At 38.2% G+C, this 16899-nt stretch overlaps 1 protein-coding gene across 4 annotated transcripts in view; it reads left to right on the top strand.

Annotated features, from left to right (window-relative positions):
• Positions 1-4763, top strand: part of SLC36A4 (solute carrier family 36 member 4) — a 53818-nt gene extending 49055 nt beyond the window's left edge. For all 4 annotated transcript variants that reach the window (NM_152313.4, NM_001286139.2, XM_047426350.1 and 1 more), the window contains one exon: positions 93-4763. In NM_152313.4, coding sequence (NP_689526.2) covers positions 93-400 — 308 coding nt within the window. In that variant the 3' untranslated portion in view covers positions 401-4763. The remainder of the gene's footprint in view (positions 1-92) is intronic.

The following is a 16899-nucleotide window of genomic DNA, read 5'->3' as shown; positions in this document are numbered from 1 at the left end:
AATTACTTTCAGTATTGAAAATACTTACTGTTAATATTCATGTAAGTAACAAACATTTAAATAAGAAAAATAAATGTATTTTCATTTTCTAGGTGCCGGAGCAATTCTTATTCCTCGTTTAGACATTGTGATTTCCTTCGTTGGAGCTGTGAGCAGCAGCACATTGGCCCTAATCCTGCCACCTTTGGTTGAAATTCTTACATTTTCGAAGGAACATTATAATATATGGATGGTCCTGAAAAATATTTCTATAGCATTCACTGGAGTTGTTGGCTTCTTATTAGGTACATATATAACTGTTGAAGAAATTATTTATCCTACTCCCAAAGTTGTAGCTGGCACTCCACAGAGTCCTTTTCTAAATTTGAATTCAACATGCTTAACATCTGGTTTGAAATAGTAAAAGCAGAATCATGAGTCTTCTATTTTTGTCCCATTTCTGAAAATTATCAAGATAACTAGTAAAATACATTGCTATATACATAAAAATGGTAACAAACTCTGTTTTCTTTGGCACGATATTAATATTTTGGAAGTAATCATAACTCTTTACCAGTAGTGGTAAACCTATGAAAAATCCTTGCTTTTAAGTGTTAGCAATAGTTCAAAAAATTAAGTTCTGAAAATTGAAAAAATTAAAATGTAAAAAAATTAAAGAATAAAAATACTTCTATTATTCTTTTATCTCAGTAAGAAATACCTTAACCAAGTTATCTCTCTTTTATGCTACTCTTTTGCCACTCACTTGAGAACAGAATAGGATTTCAACAATAAGAGAATAAAATAAGAACATGTATAACAAAAAGCTCTCTCCAGATCATCCCTGTGAATGCCAAAGTAAACTTTATGTACAGTGTAAAAAAAAAAAATCTCAGTTATGTTTTTATTAGCCAAATTCTAATGATTGGCTCCTGGAAGTATAGAAAACTCCCATTAACATAATATAAGCATCAGAAAATTGCAAACACTAGAATTAATTTTACACTCTAATGGTAGTTGATCTTCATAGTCAAGAGGCACTGTTCAAGATCATGACTTAGTGTTTCAATGAAATTTGAAAAGGGACTTTAAAACTTATCCAGTGCAACTCCCTTGTTTTTCGTCAGAGGAAAAGGAGGCCTAGAAAGGTTAAGTAACTTGGTCGAGACCACTCAGCCTTGAGATCAAGAAAACCTAATCTTCTGACTCCCAGGCCAGGATGTTTTATTTCTCACATCATGTCCAAGAAAAAGAATAAATTATGTTCAGCTTAATTTTAGTGTTGAATCTATTTGATTATATTTTAATACTTTGAAAATGAATGTGTGATTTTTAATAGTATATGTGACCTGAGCAGAAAATCAGGGAACTCCAAGAAGCCTACACTGTGGCCATATAAACCTCAGCAAGAGAAAGAAGCTATGTTCTTTTAAAACAGAATAGAGACCGCTTGCTGGTGAAACTCCTGGCTAGTAAGATGTGTGTCTAGCTATACTATTTGTGGCTTGAGCTTTTTTAATTATTACCTTCCTTTCCTGAGTTTTGTAGGCACCACATTCCTGAATGGCAGAAAATAGACACCTCAGAAAACGGAGGATTTGTGGACTCTTTCCAGCCCTGTGGCTTTTCTTATCACAGCCTTTTATTTATTATGAGCAGAATAAAAGAATCAGCTAGGTGTGGTGGTCTGTGCTTATAATCCCAGCTACTCTGGAGGATAAGTTGGGAGGATCACTTGAGAGGCCAGGAGCTTGAGACCAGCCTGGGCAGCATAGTGAGACCTCGACTCTATAAAACATAAAAATTTAAAAAAAAATTAGCCTGATGTGGCGTGTACCTGTAGTCCCAGCTACTGAGGAGGCTGAAGCAGGAGGATCCCTCGAGCACAAAAGTTTCAGGCTGTGGTAAGCTATGACTGTGCCACTGCACACCAGCCTGAGTTACAGAGGGAGATCCCAACTCTTAAAAACTAAAACAACAATAAATATATACAAGAATCATAACATAAAGGGATTCATGCTTAGAAAAAATCCATAAACTCCCTTCTAAATATTGAGACACTCCAGGCTTCTTTCAGACAAATAACTTCTAATTATTCCATATTTTTCAAGTTATTAACCAAGATAAAGAATCTCTCAGTTAGTGGGGAAAATGAAAATTATTAAGAATAGAATTGTCTTCTGACTTTAAAAACAATTTAGACTTTAAAACATGAACTGTTTACTCAGGCTGGTGATACTCTAGTTTGTTAGTATACCATACTTGAAGATATCATCAAGATCACTATAGTTGTATATATTCTCTATTTTTATATGTAAATGTTAACTTAGTTCAAGTATTTTTTGCTTGTATCGTTAACTGATCATCAAATACAATCCTAAAGATATATCAGAAGCTTTATTTTGGTACAAAGTCATAAGAATCAAAACTTTTTTAACCATTCACATTAGGTATCAACAGTAATTGTTTGAGATACTTTTATATCAATTCTGTTACACTGAGCCTTTAGTCATACTAAGAGAATGCAGAAGAAGTTATAGGAAAACGAATCTTCACTGAAACTAGTATTATATAATCTTGAATTAGATGTTTAAAAAACTTTATAGCTTGATATAAAATGAGTTGAAAATTATTATTTAATAGGAAGCAGCATTAGATTTTTGTCACCTGTTTTCAGATAATATTTCTAGTCTATGTATGTTATTTAATTTTTACACTTTGGCCCATTGTTTATTTTCCTTAAGGAATTCATCAAATGCAATGAAATTTGAATAAAATTGATCATAGCAATAAATAATTTTTAAATTCAGCACAAACTCATCTTGAGTATATTATCAATCAGGCTTCCTTTAGCAATAAGAATGGTGAATCAACATCCAGTACTAAATTCAATAAATGATGAATACTTTAAATACAAGAAAAAGTTGAATTGCAGAAAAGAAGAGGGGCTAAAAAGGAAGAAAGTTTTAATTCTCAACAAGAAACACTATTTAGATGGAAAGCTTAAATGTATTCTTATTAAGGGTATTTGATGATGCATTTTATTTGCAAAAATAACCAGTGGGTAATTTTTTCTCTGAAAATTTAGCTTTAATAAGTCGTAAAATTTCCTAAAGATTTTGGAGACGATATTTCGATTATACCAGCTCTTGCTTTTATTTTGGGAGCCTGGAGAAATGAGAGTGATTGCACCTGTCAAATTTTGTATCTCATCACTTTTGGATCATCACACTGTGACTAAAATGACTTCAGCATTTTGTTGGCCACCACAGTGAAGAACTATTCCCTGAAAGTTAATCAGTTGCCTGAGAGACTTTTCTGCTACTGAGGGGAAAGAAAGGAAAGCTTTATTTACCTCTAATGAGCTCCGTTCCAAGTCAGTTAATCACTGTTCCCTTACACCCAAGAGTTTCATCAGTATCAGAGTCAACTTGTCAAAACACTGGTTCTCAGACGTTTTTTTCAGAGGGACTTCTTTTCCCCACATGGCCAGATTTCTTTACAATTAAGAAAATAAGAGCTACAGCGTATTCTTGGTTAAAAACCAGTTTAGATGATGTTACCAAATGAAAACAAGTCTGTATTAGCAAATGCCACATTATATTTAGTCGTATTCTCACTAAATTCTCCGTTATTAAAATGATTTCTGCATCTTGCCTGGAAAATGCACTTACATATTTACAAGCGTTGTATGTCAATGTGCATGTTTTGAATTTCCTAACAGTGTCTAATCTTAGTAGTTTCATAGTAGTTATGTAAAATCTCTTTAACTGCAAAATACTATAAAATATTACTTGAAATATTAAAGTATTAGTGCCATTTCTAGCTGTGGCAAGGCACAAGTCTTACTATAGCTTACTTATGTCTTCTCATAGATTTCAGTACAGCATCTGAGTAGTGGATCTGTTTACTGACAGTATACACAAACTAGGTCTTGACCTCACTTCTTTCTTCATTTAAAAGGAGAAGATTTGAAATAGAGCTAGTGTAAATAATAAATAAAATTATTTAAATAGCATCAGTGGCTCAATACCATCTGTTGAGGAATAAAATAATTTGGTTAACATACAGAACATCGATAATATACAATAATGACTTTTTAAAAAATGAGTCTGATCTTTTTGGCTCACCTAGCTTCCCTTAATAAGAAAATTTGAGAAACTTGGATCTGAAAAGTGTAGTTGTACTTCCTAACATTAAATTCCTGGCTGTAATAGTTAATACTTTGGCAGCATTATGGTTAGTCTTGTTTATGCCATTGGCACTTACTAGGCTAAACTTTCTGAAACTGATTGGTTTTGACCTATGAGATAAGGAAACATGCCTAAGAAATGGCTAGAAATGCTATTTATTGCCCTATGATAAGTGAAATAGCAAATCACTCTTGATTCTTAAAATTTCATATTAAAATTAGCTAGTTCCTACATGCATGCGTGCACAAGTATATGCAGACACACACACAAATCAGTAATCTATGTGAACTAGATACTAATACTAAATTACTATTTAAATTGGGTCCAGAAAGATGCTGTTTTGAAAAGAACACTAAAAATATTTCATTAGCGTTTTCTTGATAACAAATAGGAAAATATATGTTTACACCCTGAATAAATTCAGCTGTGGGTGGATTTTTGTTTTTCAAAATGATTTTGTTAGTTTGAATGAAACCTAAATATAACATTCAAGTCAATTCTTTTAACATTTTTCTTTATAACAGAATATGAAAAACGCTGTCTTAAAGTGTTGTAACTTTTCTGAATTTTCAATAAAATATTTTGCTTGCAGTTGCCTTTTAGATAACATTTTTCTAAGGTTAAATGACATTGATAAGTGTCATAAGCTAAAAATGGCACTAGTATAATATTCTCATAATAACATTTTAAGCAGTCTTTGTGGTTAATTCTGTTATGCTGGAAGTTGATATTGTATACTTCTAAGTTTTAAGAGCAGAAGTTGATTAAAAATGAAAGGACACACTCAAAACTGTGACCTGAACTTCCTGCAGCATGAATGCAGGATGAGCCATCTGCAGATGCTGCATTCATGATTTACTGCTTTTGTAAGGTCAAGAATATATATCAATCATTTTGTTTGCATTACAAAATTAATGCTTTAGGAAAGCATTATGCCAATCCTGTAGTAAAAGATCATAAAGATATTTATACCTTCACATCAGTAATCCTGCTCTTGTGAACTTAGCATAAAGACATAGTTCACAGAAGAGAGATGCTATGCCTAAAGGTGTGTTACAGCATTATGTTTTAATGTGAAAAATTGGAAACAACCTACATGTTCAGCAAGAGGGGGATCATAAATTACGATAACCTAGAATACAATGAAGATTATATTACAACAAACGTATACTGAAGACTGATAAGTTGGGAAATTAAAAAATAAGTAAATTTTAATTGCAGGTCTACAAAATATGCTTCTGGGCCAAGACAAGGAGATTTGTGGAAAATGGAACCATAGTGTCAGGATAAAGAAATGGGTTTTACTGTTTTTAAATGACTAGTGAAAGGAGGAATGTGAGAGAAATGGTTTTGGGGACAGGAAGTTTATAAAGCCTTAGTAGTGGTATGTGCTTCTGGCAAGCAACAGAAAGAACACAAAGGCAAAACACACACACACACACACACCCCAAATTAGGGATAGGACTAGCTGCATGTGAATTGCAATGAAAAGCCCTGTGGGGTACTTGATGGAGGAAAATAAAGATGGTTGGTACTACTTTAATTGGTAGAACAAGGTACTACTCTGTTATTTAAATACCAATGCACAACATTTCCCAAAGAAACCTTTCTTTATGAATTCTGGAAGAAAACTTTCTTTGGGAAAGGTTGTGCATTGTTTTATTTTAAGTTCCAGGGTACATGTGCAGGATATGCAGGTTTGTTACATAGGTAAACGTGCCATGGTGATTTGCTGCACCTGTCAACCCATCACCTAGGTATTAAACCCAGCATGCATTAGCTATTTTTCCTAATGCTCTCCCTCCTCCCACCCCACCCCCAAACAGGCCCCAGTGTGTGTTGTTCCCCTCCCTGTGTCCATATGTTCTCATTGTTCAGCTCCCACTTATAAGTGAGAACATGCGGTGTTTGGTTTTGTGTCCCCTTTATTAGTTTGCTGAGGATAATGGCTTCCAGTTCCATCCATGTCCCTACAAAGGACATGATCTTGTTCCTTTTTATGGCTGCATAGTATTCCATGGTGGTATTCCTTTTTATGGCTTCACAGTATTCCGTTATGTATATGTACCACGTTTTCTTTTTTTTTTTTTTTTTTTTTTTTTTTATTATACTCTAAGTTTTAGGGTACATGTGCACATTGTGCAGGTTAGTTACATATGTATACATGTGCCATGCTGGTGCGCTGCACCCACTAATGTGTCATCTAGCATTAGGTATATCTCCCAATGCTATCCCTCCCCCCTCCCCCGACCCCACCACAGTCCCCAGAGTGTGATATTCCCCTTCCTGTGTCCATGTGATCTCATTGTTCAATTCCCACCTATGAGTGAGAATATGCGGTGTTTGGTTTTTTGTTCTTGCGATAGTTTACTGAGAATGATGGTTTCCAATTTCATCCATGTCCCTACAAAGGATATGAACTCATCATTTTTTATGGCTGCATAGTATTCCATGGTGTATATGTGCCACATTTTCTTAATCCAGTCTATCATTGTTGGACATTTGGGTTGGTTCCAAGTCTTTGCTATTGTGAATAGTGCCGCAATAAACATACGTGTGCATGTGTCTTTATAGCAGCATGATTTATACTCATTTGGGTATATACCCAGTAATGGGATGGCTGGGTCAAATGGTATTTCTAGTTCTAGATCCCTGAGGAATCTCCACACTGACTTCCACAATGGTTGAACTAGTTTACAGTCCCACCAACAGTGTAAAAGTGTTCCTATTTCTCCGCATCCTCTCCAGCACCTGTTGTTTCCTGACTTTTTAATGATTGCCATTCTAACTGGTGTGAGATGATATCTCATAGTGGTTTTGATTTGCATTTCTCTGATGGCCAGTGATGATGAGCATTTCTTCATGTGTTTTTTGGCTGCATAAATGTCTTCTTTTGAGAAGTGTCTGTTCATGTCCTTTGCCCACTTTTTGATGGGGTTGTTTGTTTTTTTCTTGTAAATTTGTTTGAGTTCATTGTAGATTCTGGATATTAGCCCTTTGTCAGATGAGTAGGTTGCGAAAATTTTCTCCCATGTTGTAGGTTGCCTGTTCACTCTGATGGTAGTTTCTTTTGCTGTGCAGAAGCTCTTTAGTTTAATTAGATCCCATTTGTCAATTTTGTCTTTTGTTGCCATTGCTTTTGGTGTTTTGGACATGAAGTCCTTGCCCACGCCTATGTCCTGAATGGTAATGCCTAGGTTTTCTTCTAGGGTTTTTATGGTTTTAGGTTTAACGTTTAAATCTTTAATCCATCTTGAATTGATTTTTGTATAAGGTGTAAGGAAGGGATCCAGTTTCAGCTTTCTACATATGGCTAGCCAGTTTTCCCAGCACCATTTATTAAATAGGGAATCCTTTCCCCATTGCTTGTTTTTCTCAGGTTTGTCAAAGATCAGATAGTTGTAGATATGCGGCATTATTTCTGAGGGCTCTGTTCTGTTCCATTGATCTATATCTCTGTTTTGGTACCAGTACCATGCTGTTTTGGTTACTGTAGCCTTGTAGTATAGTTTGAAGTCAGGTAGTGTGATGCCTCCAGCTTTGTTCTTTTGGCTTAGGATTGACTTGGCAATGCGGGCTCTTTTTTGGTTCCATATGAACTTTAAAGTAGTTTTTTCCAATTCTGTGAAGAAAGTCATTGGTAGCTTGATGGGGATGGCATTGAATCTGTAAATTACCTTGGGCAGTATGGCCATTTTCACGATATTGATTCTTCCTACCCATGAGCATGGAATGTTCTTCCATTTGTTTGTGTCCTCTTTTATTTCCTTGAGCAGTGGTTTGTAGTTCTCCTTGAAGAGGTCCTTCACATCCCTTGTAAGTTGGATTCCTAGGTATTTTATTCTCTTTGAAGCAATTACGAATGGGAGTTCACCCATGATTTGGCTCTCTGTTTGTCTGTTGTTGGTGTATAAGAATGCTTGTGATTTTTGTACATTGATTTTGTATCCTGAGACTTTGCTGAAGTTGCTTATCAGCTTAAGGAGATTTTGGGCTGAGACGATGGGGTTTTCTAGATATACAATCATGTCGTCTGCAAACAGGGACAATTTGACTTCCTCTTTTCCTAATTGAATACCCTTTATTTCCTTCTCCTGCCTGATTGCCCTGGCCAGAACTTCCAACACTATGTTGAATAGGAGCGGTGAGAGAGGGCATCCCTGTCTTGTGCCGGTTTTCAAAGGGAATGCTTCCAGTTTTTGCCCATTCAGTATGATATTGGCTGTGGGTTTGTCATAGATAGCTCTTATTATTTTGAAATACGTCCCATCAATACCTAATTTATTGAGAGTTTTTAGCATGAAGGGTTGTTGAATTTTGTCAAAGGCTTTTTCTGCATCTATTGAGATAATCATGTGGTTTTTGTCTTTGGCTCTGTTTATATGCTGGATTACATTTATTGATTTGCGTATATTGAACCAGCCTTGCATCCCAGGGATGAAGCCCACTTGATCATGGTGGATAAGCTTTTTGATGTGCTGCTGGATTCGGTTTGCCAGTATTTTATTGAGGATTTTTGCATCAATGTTCATCAAGGATATTGGTCTAAAATTCTCTTTTTTGGTTGTGTCTCTGCCCGGCTTTGGTATCAGAATGATGCTGGCCTCATAAAATGAGTTAGGGAGGATTCCCTCTTTTTCTATTGATTGGAATAGTTTCAGAAGGAATGGTACCAGTTCCTCCATGTACCTCTGGTAGAATTCGGCTGTGAATCCATCTGGTCCTGGACTCTTTTTGGTTGGTAAACTATTGATTATTGCCACAATTTCAGAGCCTGTTATTGGTCTATTCAGAGATTCAACTTCTTCCTGGTTTAGTCCTGGGAGAGTGTATGTGTCGAGGAATGTATCCATTTCTTCTAGATTTTCTAGTTTATTTGCGTAGAGGTGTTTGTAGTATTCTCTGATGGTAGTTTGTATTTCTGTGGGATCGGTGGTGATATCCCCTTTATCATTTTTTATTGTGTCTATTTGATTCTTCTCTCTTTTTTTCTTTATTAGTCTTGCTAGCGGTCTATCAATTTTGTTGATCCTTTCAAAAAACCAGCTCCTGGATTCATTGATTTTTTGAAGGGTTTTTTGTGTCTCTATTTCCTTCAGTTCTGCTCTGATTTTAGTTATTTCTTGCCTTCTGCTAGCTTTTGAATGTGTTTGCTCTTGCTTTTCTAGTTCTTTTAATTGTGATGTTAGGGTGTCAATTTTGGATCTTTCCTGCTTTCTCTTGTAGGCATTTAGTGCTATAAATTTCCCTCTACACACTGCTTTGAATGCGTCCCAGAGATTCTGGTATGTGGTGTCTTTGTTCTCGTTGGTTTCAAAGAACATCTTTATTTCTGCCTTCATTTCGTTATGTACCCAGTAGTCATTCAGGAGCAGGTTGTTCAGTTTCCATGTAGTTGAGCGGCTTTGAGTGAGATTCTTAATCCTGAGTTCTAGTTTGATTGCACTGTGGTCTGAGAGATAGTTTGTTATAATTTCTGTTCTTTTACATTTGCTGAGGAGAGCTTTACTTCCAACTATGTGGTCAATTTTGGAATAGGTGTGGTGTGGTGCTGAAAAAAAGGTATATTCTGTTGATTTGGGGTGGAGAGTTCTGTAGATGTCTATTAGGTCTGCTTGGTGCAGAGCTGAGTTCAATTCCTGGGTATCCTTGTTGACTTTCTGTCTCGTTGATCTGTCTAATGTTGACAGTGGGGTGTTAAAGTCTCCCATTATTAATGTGTGGGAGTCTAAGTCTCTTTGTAGGTCACTGAGGACTTGCTTTATGAATCTGGGTGCTCCTGTATTGGGTGCATAAATATTTAGGATAGTTAGCTCCTCTTGTTGAATTGATCCCTTTACCATTATGTAATGGCCTTCTTTGTCTCTTTTGATCTTTGTTGGTTTAAAGTCTGTTTTATCAGAGACTAGGATTGCAACCCCTGCCTTTTTTTGTTTTCCATTGGCTTGGTAGATCTTCCTCCATCCTTTTATTTTGAGCCTATGTGTGTCTCTGCACGTGAGATGGGTTTCCTGAATACAGCACACTGATGGGTCTTGACTCTTTATCCAACTTGCCAGTCTGTGTCTTTTAATTGCAGAATTTAGTCCATTTATATTTAAAGTTAATATTGTTATGTGTGAATTTGATCCTGTCATTATGATGTTAGCTGGTGATTTTGCTCATTAGTTGATGCAGTTTCTTCCTAGTCTCGATGGTCTTTACATTTTGGCATGATTTTGCAGCGGCTGGTACCGGTTGTTCCTTTCCATGTTTAGCGCTTCCTTCAGGAGCTCTTTTAGGGCAGGCCTGGTGGTGACAAAATCTCTCAACATTTGCTTGTCTATAAAGTATTTTATTTCTCCTTCACTTATGAAGCTTAGTTTGGCTGGATATGAAATTCTGGGTTGAAAATTCTTTTCTTTAAGAATGTTGAATATTGGCCCCCACTCTCTTCTGGCTTGTAGGGTTTCTGCCGAGAGATCCACTGTTAGTCTGATGGGCTTTCCTTTGAGGGTAACCCGACCTTTCTCTCTGGCTGCCCTTAACATTTTTTCCTTCATTTCAACTTTGGTGAATCTGACAATTATGTGTCTTGGAGTTGCTCTTCTCGAGGAGTATCTTTGTGGCGTTCTCTGTATTTCCTGAATCTGAACGTTGGCCTGCCTTGCTAGATTGGGGAAGTTCTCCTGGATAATATCCTGCAGAGTGTTTTCCAACTTGGTTCCATTCTCCACATCACTTTCAGGTACACCAGTCAGACGTAGATTTGGTCTTTTCACATAGTCCCATATTTCTTGGAGGCTTTGCTCATTTCTTTTTATTCTTTTTTCTCTAAACTTCCCTTCTCGCTTCATTTCATTCATTTCATCTTCCATTGCTGATACCCTTTCTTCCAGTTGATCGCATCGGCTCCTGAGGCTTCTGCATTCTTCACGTAGTTCTCGAGCCTTGGTTTTCAGCTCCATCAGCTCCTTTAAGCACTTCTCTGTATTGGTTATTCTAGTTATACATTCTTCTAAATTTTTTTCAAAGTTTTCAACTTCTTTGCCTTTGGTTTGAATGTCCTCCCGTAGCTCAGAGTAATTTGATCGTCTGAAGCCTTCTTCTCTCAGCTCGTCAAAATCATTCTCCATCCAGCTTTGTTCTGTTGCTGGTGAGGAACTGCGTTCCTTTGGAGGAGGAGAGGCGCTCTGCGTTTTAGAGTTTCCAGTTTTTCTGTTCTGTTTTTTCCCCATCTTTGTGGTTTTATCTACTTTTGGTCTTTGATGATGGTGATGTACAGATGGGTTTTCGGTGTAGATGTCCTTTCTGGTTGTTAGTTTTCCTTCTAACAGACAGGACCCTCAGCTGCAGGTCTGTTGGAATACCCTGCCATGTGAGGTGTCAGTGTGCCCCTGCTGGGGGGTGCCTCCCAGTTAGGCTGCTCGGGGGTCAGGAGTCAGGGACCCACTTGAGGAGGCAGTCTGTCTGCCCGTTCTCAGATCTCCAGCTGCGTGCTGGGAGAACCACTGCTCTCTTCAAAGCTGTCAGACAGGGACACTTAAGTCTGCAGAGGTTACTGCTGTCTTTTTGTTTGTCTGTGCCCTGCCCCCAGAGGTGGAGCCTACAGAGGCAGGCAGGCCTCCTTGAGCTGTGGTGGGCTCCACCCAGTTCGAGCTTCCCGGCTGCTTTGTTTACCTAAGCAAGCCTGGGCAATGGCGGGCGCCCCTCCCCCAGCCTCGTTGCCGCCTTGCAGTTTGATCTCAGACTGCTGTGCTAGCAATCAGCGAGATTCCGTGGGCGTAGGACCCTCCGAGCCAGGTGTGGGATATAGTCTCGTGGTGCGCCGTTTCTTAAGCCGGTCTGAAAAGCGCAATATTCGGGTGGGAGTGACCCGATTTTCCAGGTGCGACCGTCACCCCTTTCTTTGACTCAGAAAGGGAACTCCCTGACCCCTTGCGCTTCCCAGGTGAGGCAATGCCTCGCCCTGCTTCGGCTCGCGCACGGTGCGCACACACACTGGCCTGCGCCCACTGTCTGGCACTCCCTAGTGAGATGAACCCGGTACCTCAGATGGAAATGCAGAAATCACCGTCTTCTGCGTCGCTCACGCTGGGAGCTGTAGACCGGAGCTGTTCCTATTCGGCCATCTTGGCTCCTCCCCCATGTACCACGTTTTCTTTAGTCTATCATTGATGGGCAGTTGTGTTGATTCCATGTCTTTGCTATTGTGAAGTGTGCTGCACTGAACATACTCATGCATGTATCTCTATAATAGAATGATTTATATTCTTTTGGGTATTTACCCAGTAATGGGATTGCTGGGTCAAATCGTATTTCTGGTTCTAGATCTTTGAGGAATTGCACACTGTCTTCCACAATAGTTGACCTAATTTACATTCCCACCGACAGTGTAAAAGCATTCCTACTTCTCTGCAACCTCACCAGTATCTTTTATTTCTTGACTTTTTAATAATTGCCATTCTGACTGGCATAAGATGGTATCTCATTGTGGTTTTGATTTGCATTTTTCTAATGATCAGTGATGATGAGCTCTTTTCCATGTTTGTTGGCTGCATGAATGTCTTCTTTTGAGAAGTGTCTGTTCATATCCTTTGCCCACTTTTTAATGCGGTTGTTTTTTTCCTGTAAATTTGTTTAAGTTCTTTGTAGATTTTGGATATTAGTCCTTTGTCAGATGGATAGATTGCAAAAATTTTCTCCTGCTCTGTAGGTTGCCTGTTCACTCTGATGCTAGTTTCTTTTGCTGTGCATAAGCTCTTTAGTTTAATTAGATCCCATTTGTCATTTTTTGCTTTTGCTGCAATTGCTCTTGGCAATTTCGTCATGAAATCTTTGCCTGTGCCTATGTCCTGACTGGTATTGCCTAGATTTCCTTCTAGGGTTTTTATAGTTTTGGGTGTTAACATTTAAGTCTTTAATCCATCTTGAGTTAATTTTTGTATATGGTGTAAGGAAGGGGTTCACTTTCAGTTTTCTGCATATGGCTAGCCAGTTCTCCAAGTACCATTTACTGAATAAGGAGTCCTTTCCCCACTGCTTGTTTTTGTCAGGTTTGTCAAAGATCAGATGGTTGTAGACGTGTGGTGTTGTTTCTGTGTTTTCTATTCTGTTCCATTGGTTTATGTGTCTGTTGTGCATTGGTTTTTAAAGAACAGATACCGTTTCAAGTTTCCTTGTAAAGGTAGATTTGTTTGATGGCTTAAAATGTGAGGGAATTGGGTCTTTTGGTCGTCAGTTTTCTGGTGCCATGAATCATGGGACTAGCAGGTATTGATGATAGAAACTAAAGCTAATATGTCAGCCTTGCCGAGGAGTTATGAAATAGTTTTGTTATTCTCCATGCTGGATCTCTGTGCAAAAGGACAGGGACTGGCTACCAAATGCCCAACTTGCACTTAAGGGATAGGAAGGGTGTGCTGGGCGTGGATTGAGGGAGAGCAGGTCTAGAGTTGAATAAGAAAGTAAAGTAGACCAAAAAGAAAAAAAGAGGTGGGTGGGCAGTGCAGAAGTGAGCACTTCAGATCATGGACCTGTAGTGTCTTCCTATCTTTGTAGTTCCCACACCCAGCAGTACCACACAAGAGCACAGAATAAGTGCTTGAAAATCTGATCTTGTCACTTTCTTAAATCTATTGTCTTCTCCAGTCTTGGCTGTACAAAGACCGAGCTCTTTAATGTGGTACCATAGCTGGCCTCACTCCCTGTCTCACCCCAAAAGTTACAGCAACACCAAACTGCTGCCAGCACCACAAGCACACTACACACTCTGTTTCATCTGCATGACTCCAGAACCTTCTCATACTAAAATGATTTCCTTCTCGCTCCTCCATTTTTTTCCTGGTCAATTCTTAGTTAAGATTCAGTTTAGGAGGCTCTTCTACTAGGAAGCCTTCACATACAACCTTACCTGTACCTGGAGTGAGTTATATATTCCTTCATTTTTTTCATTTCTTCTCTGCCCTTCCCTAGACACTATGAGCTCTATGAGTAAGGTAGTTTGATCAATTATGTTCAATTCTGAAAATACAGTGCCTAGAAGGATGTCAGGCACATAGCAGACACTCAAAAAATTTTGTTGAATGAATGAATGAATTGACAGAAAAACCCATATTAGAGCTCTGATACTTAAAAATCGCCAGGTGCAGGGGCAAAGCCATGCTTTCTGTGCTGTCTGTCCTCTGCCCCTGTGTCTTTTTGTTGAATGAATGTGGCCGACCTTTTCCACTTTGTATGCTAGTTCAGCAGGCTACAATACTGTAAAGCAAAGACATCCACATCTGAGTGTCTTATGGAAAATCATATGAATCAGACAAATCTTAAAAACATATTCACAAGTAATGTAGGTGAAGTCTGTAAGAAGGAAAAGATTAAAAACCCTCACAGCCCTTTCTGTTTTTATATTTTACATGAGCAGATTAAATTTTGGAAATAAATCAGTTATACTTTCTACTCATTCTTTGTAAAATTAGATGTAACCTGGACTGCAAGTGATCCTTTCTGTCTTAAGAAGACAAAAGCCTAACACCCAGAGCTATGTTTCTAAACTTTTGATGCCTAAAGGTTCCCTGCTTGTAAAAGAATCATCTATTCAGTAGTTTTTTGTGGATCTTCTCACAAAAGAGGGCATTCTCTGGCTGTTCTGAGAGCCTACCTATTGTCTGAGTGCATTCTGGTATATATCATAAACAGAATCCAACTCAATGCAAAGCAAGAATGAGAATCTCTATGTGTTGGGAAATGTGGCCTGGCCAAGGTGGCCATTGTATAGAAATGGCTCAAAAAGTAACAAACAAGAATCACAATATCTGGAAATGGGAATTATGTAACTGAAAATGCATTTGCTCCAGCGCATTGCCTTTCATGAGACATTGCTCAAGTATGTTGTTTGCACATACAGCAGAGTGTGCTCTGTGGGGGGGAAAAAGAAAGAAAGAAAAAAAGAAAACCTCAACCAGCATTAGTACTTTTCAGTATAAAACAGATACATTTTGCCACTGGCAGAAGACGAGGCATCAATATTACACTTTGCACAACAAAAACAGATCTGGATCACACTTTTTAGGATACACTTGGAAAACTAGCCACCCAGTGTTAATGGCTGGTATTATACTGAAACGAACTGCTGGAAATCACACATAATCAGTGATGCTCATCAAATGCATACTGGCAGAGATTCCGCTTTTTAGCCACTGCTGTATAGATGTAAACTGCTTAATGACTTCTGGTTATTATGATACAGAAAACCCAAACCATAGGAGAAGATATTTTCTAAAATTAAAATTGCTTTGGAGGCACTACATAGATGGGAAAAGATGTGTTGTACTCAATTCTGACAGAGGCCCAGATTATTACAAGGTTAGGAGAGTAGCCCCTAAATGCAAATCCACACACTAATTGGTTTTCAGAGGTTAACTAGCAGTCTACCATAGTACCTCCTGACTGAAATATGATGTTCAAGGAAATAGTGAAAGTAATAATATGGATCGTCTTGCAGCTCTTGAGTGTACACCTTTCAACACATTCTGCCAGAAGATGGGCAGTGACTACAGATACATTTTTTCCTCTCTGAAAAAAAATGTTGGTTGCCAGAGGGAAACATCCTAGGACCTGAAAAATCACAGATGGGAAAATATCTCCATGACACTGATAATGCCAATAAGGACCGTTTCTATCACTTCAAATGTGGTGTATCTCAGCAATAGCCTTAATTATCTTGACAAGCCAGAACTTATCACTTTGGGGATGAACTTTTGCCAATTTCCAATGAAGAGGATAAAGGGTCAGGATTAAAACAAAACAAAACAAGCTGTGGAACAAATGCCTCAGTCATTAGGAATTCAACTTATCCCCAGTATTTGATTATTTTCTTTCTCATTAGAGAAAACAAAACAATGAAATCTTGGGGATGCTTAAAAAATACATCAAGATGCCACAATAGAACATAAGAATTGCTCTACAGCGTGGTCCCCAACCTTTCTGGCACTAGGGACCAGTTTTGTGGAAGACGATTTTTCCACAGATGAGGGCGGAGGGTTGGTTTTGGAGTGAAACTGTTCTACTTCAGATCATCAGGCATTATCAGATCTAGTAAGAGGCGCACAGCCTACATCCCTTGCATGTGCAGTTCATGATAGGGTCCCCGCTCCTATGAGAATCTAATGCTGCTGCTGATCTGACATGAGGCGGAGCTCAGGTGGTAACGCTTGCCAACTGCTCACCTTCTGCTGTGTGGCCTGTTCCTAATGGGCCATGGGACCCATGCTCTACAGAGTGGAATGTAATGAGAGTAGATTAGGAATTTGTCACTAAGCCCAAGTAAAACCAAACTTCCAGGTTTTGATTCCGTTGTGGACTTAAGAGTTTTCCAGGTACTACTCACTCATAAATCTCTCCATTCATTCCCTGTCCATGTTTGAGCTGGACTGAGGTAACATTCTGATAACAGAATTATCAGATGAAGCCCTCAATCACTTGCTGACATTCCTAATGACCTATCATTGTAATTTTGAATTATTTAACTTAGTAGCAATAAAGAGGCAGGAAAGAAACATACTGCATGTAGAACCTACTGCTTCAATTATTGAGCCAAAAACCTAGTGAAAGGTTAACAGTGAGATCAGCCATCTTCAACTGACACGAAATAATTATTCTTACCTTTAATATTACCTTCAGTTTTTATAATTTAAATACATATCATATATCTTTCTGTTCACTTAATGGTCCAAGAGTCCACTTAACAAGT

The sequence above is a fragment of the Homo sapiens genome, chromosome 11, assembly GCF_000001405.40.
Source record: "Homo sapiens chromosome 11, GRCh38.p14 Primary Assembly".
Lineage (NCBI taxonomy): Eukaryota > Metazoa > Chordata > Mammalia > Primates > Hominidae > Homo > Homo sapiens.
This window is presented reverse-complemented; position numbering and strand designations above follow the sequence as displayed.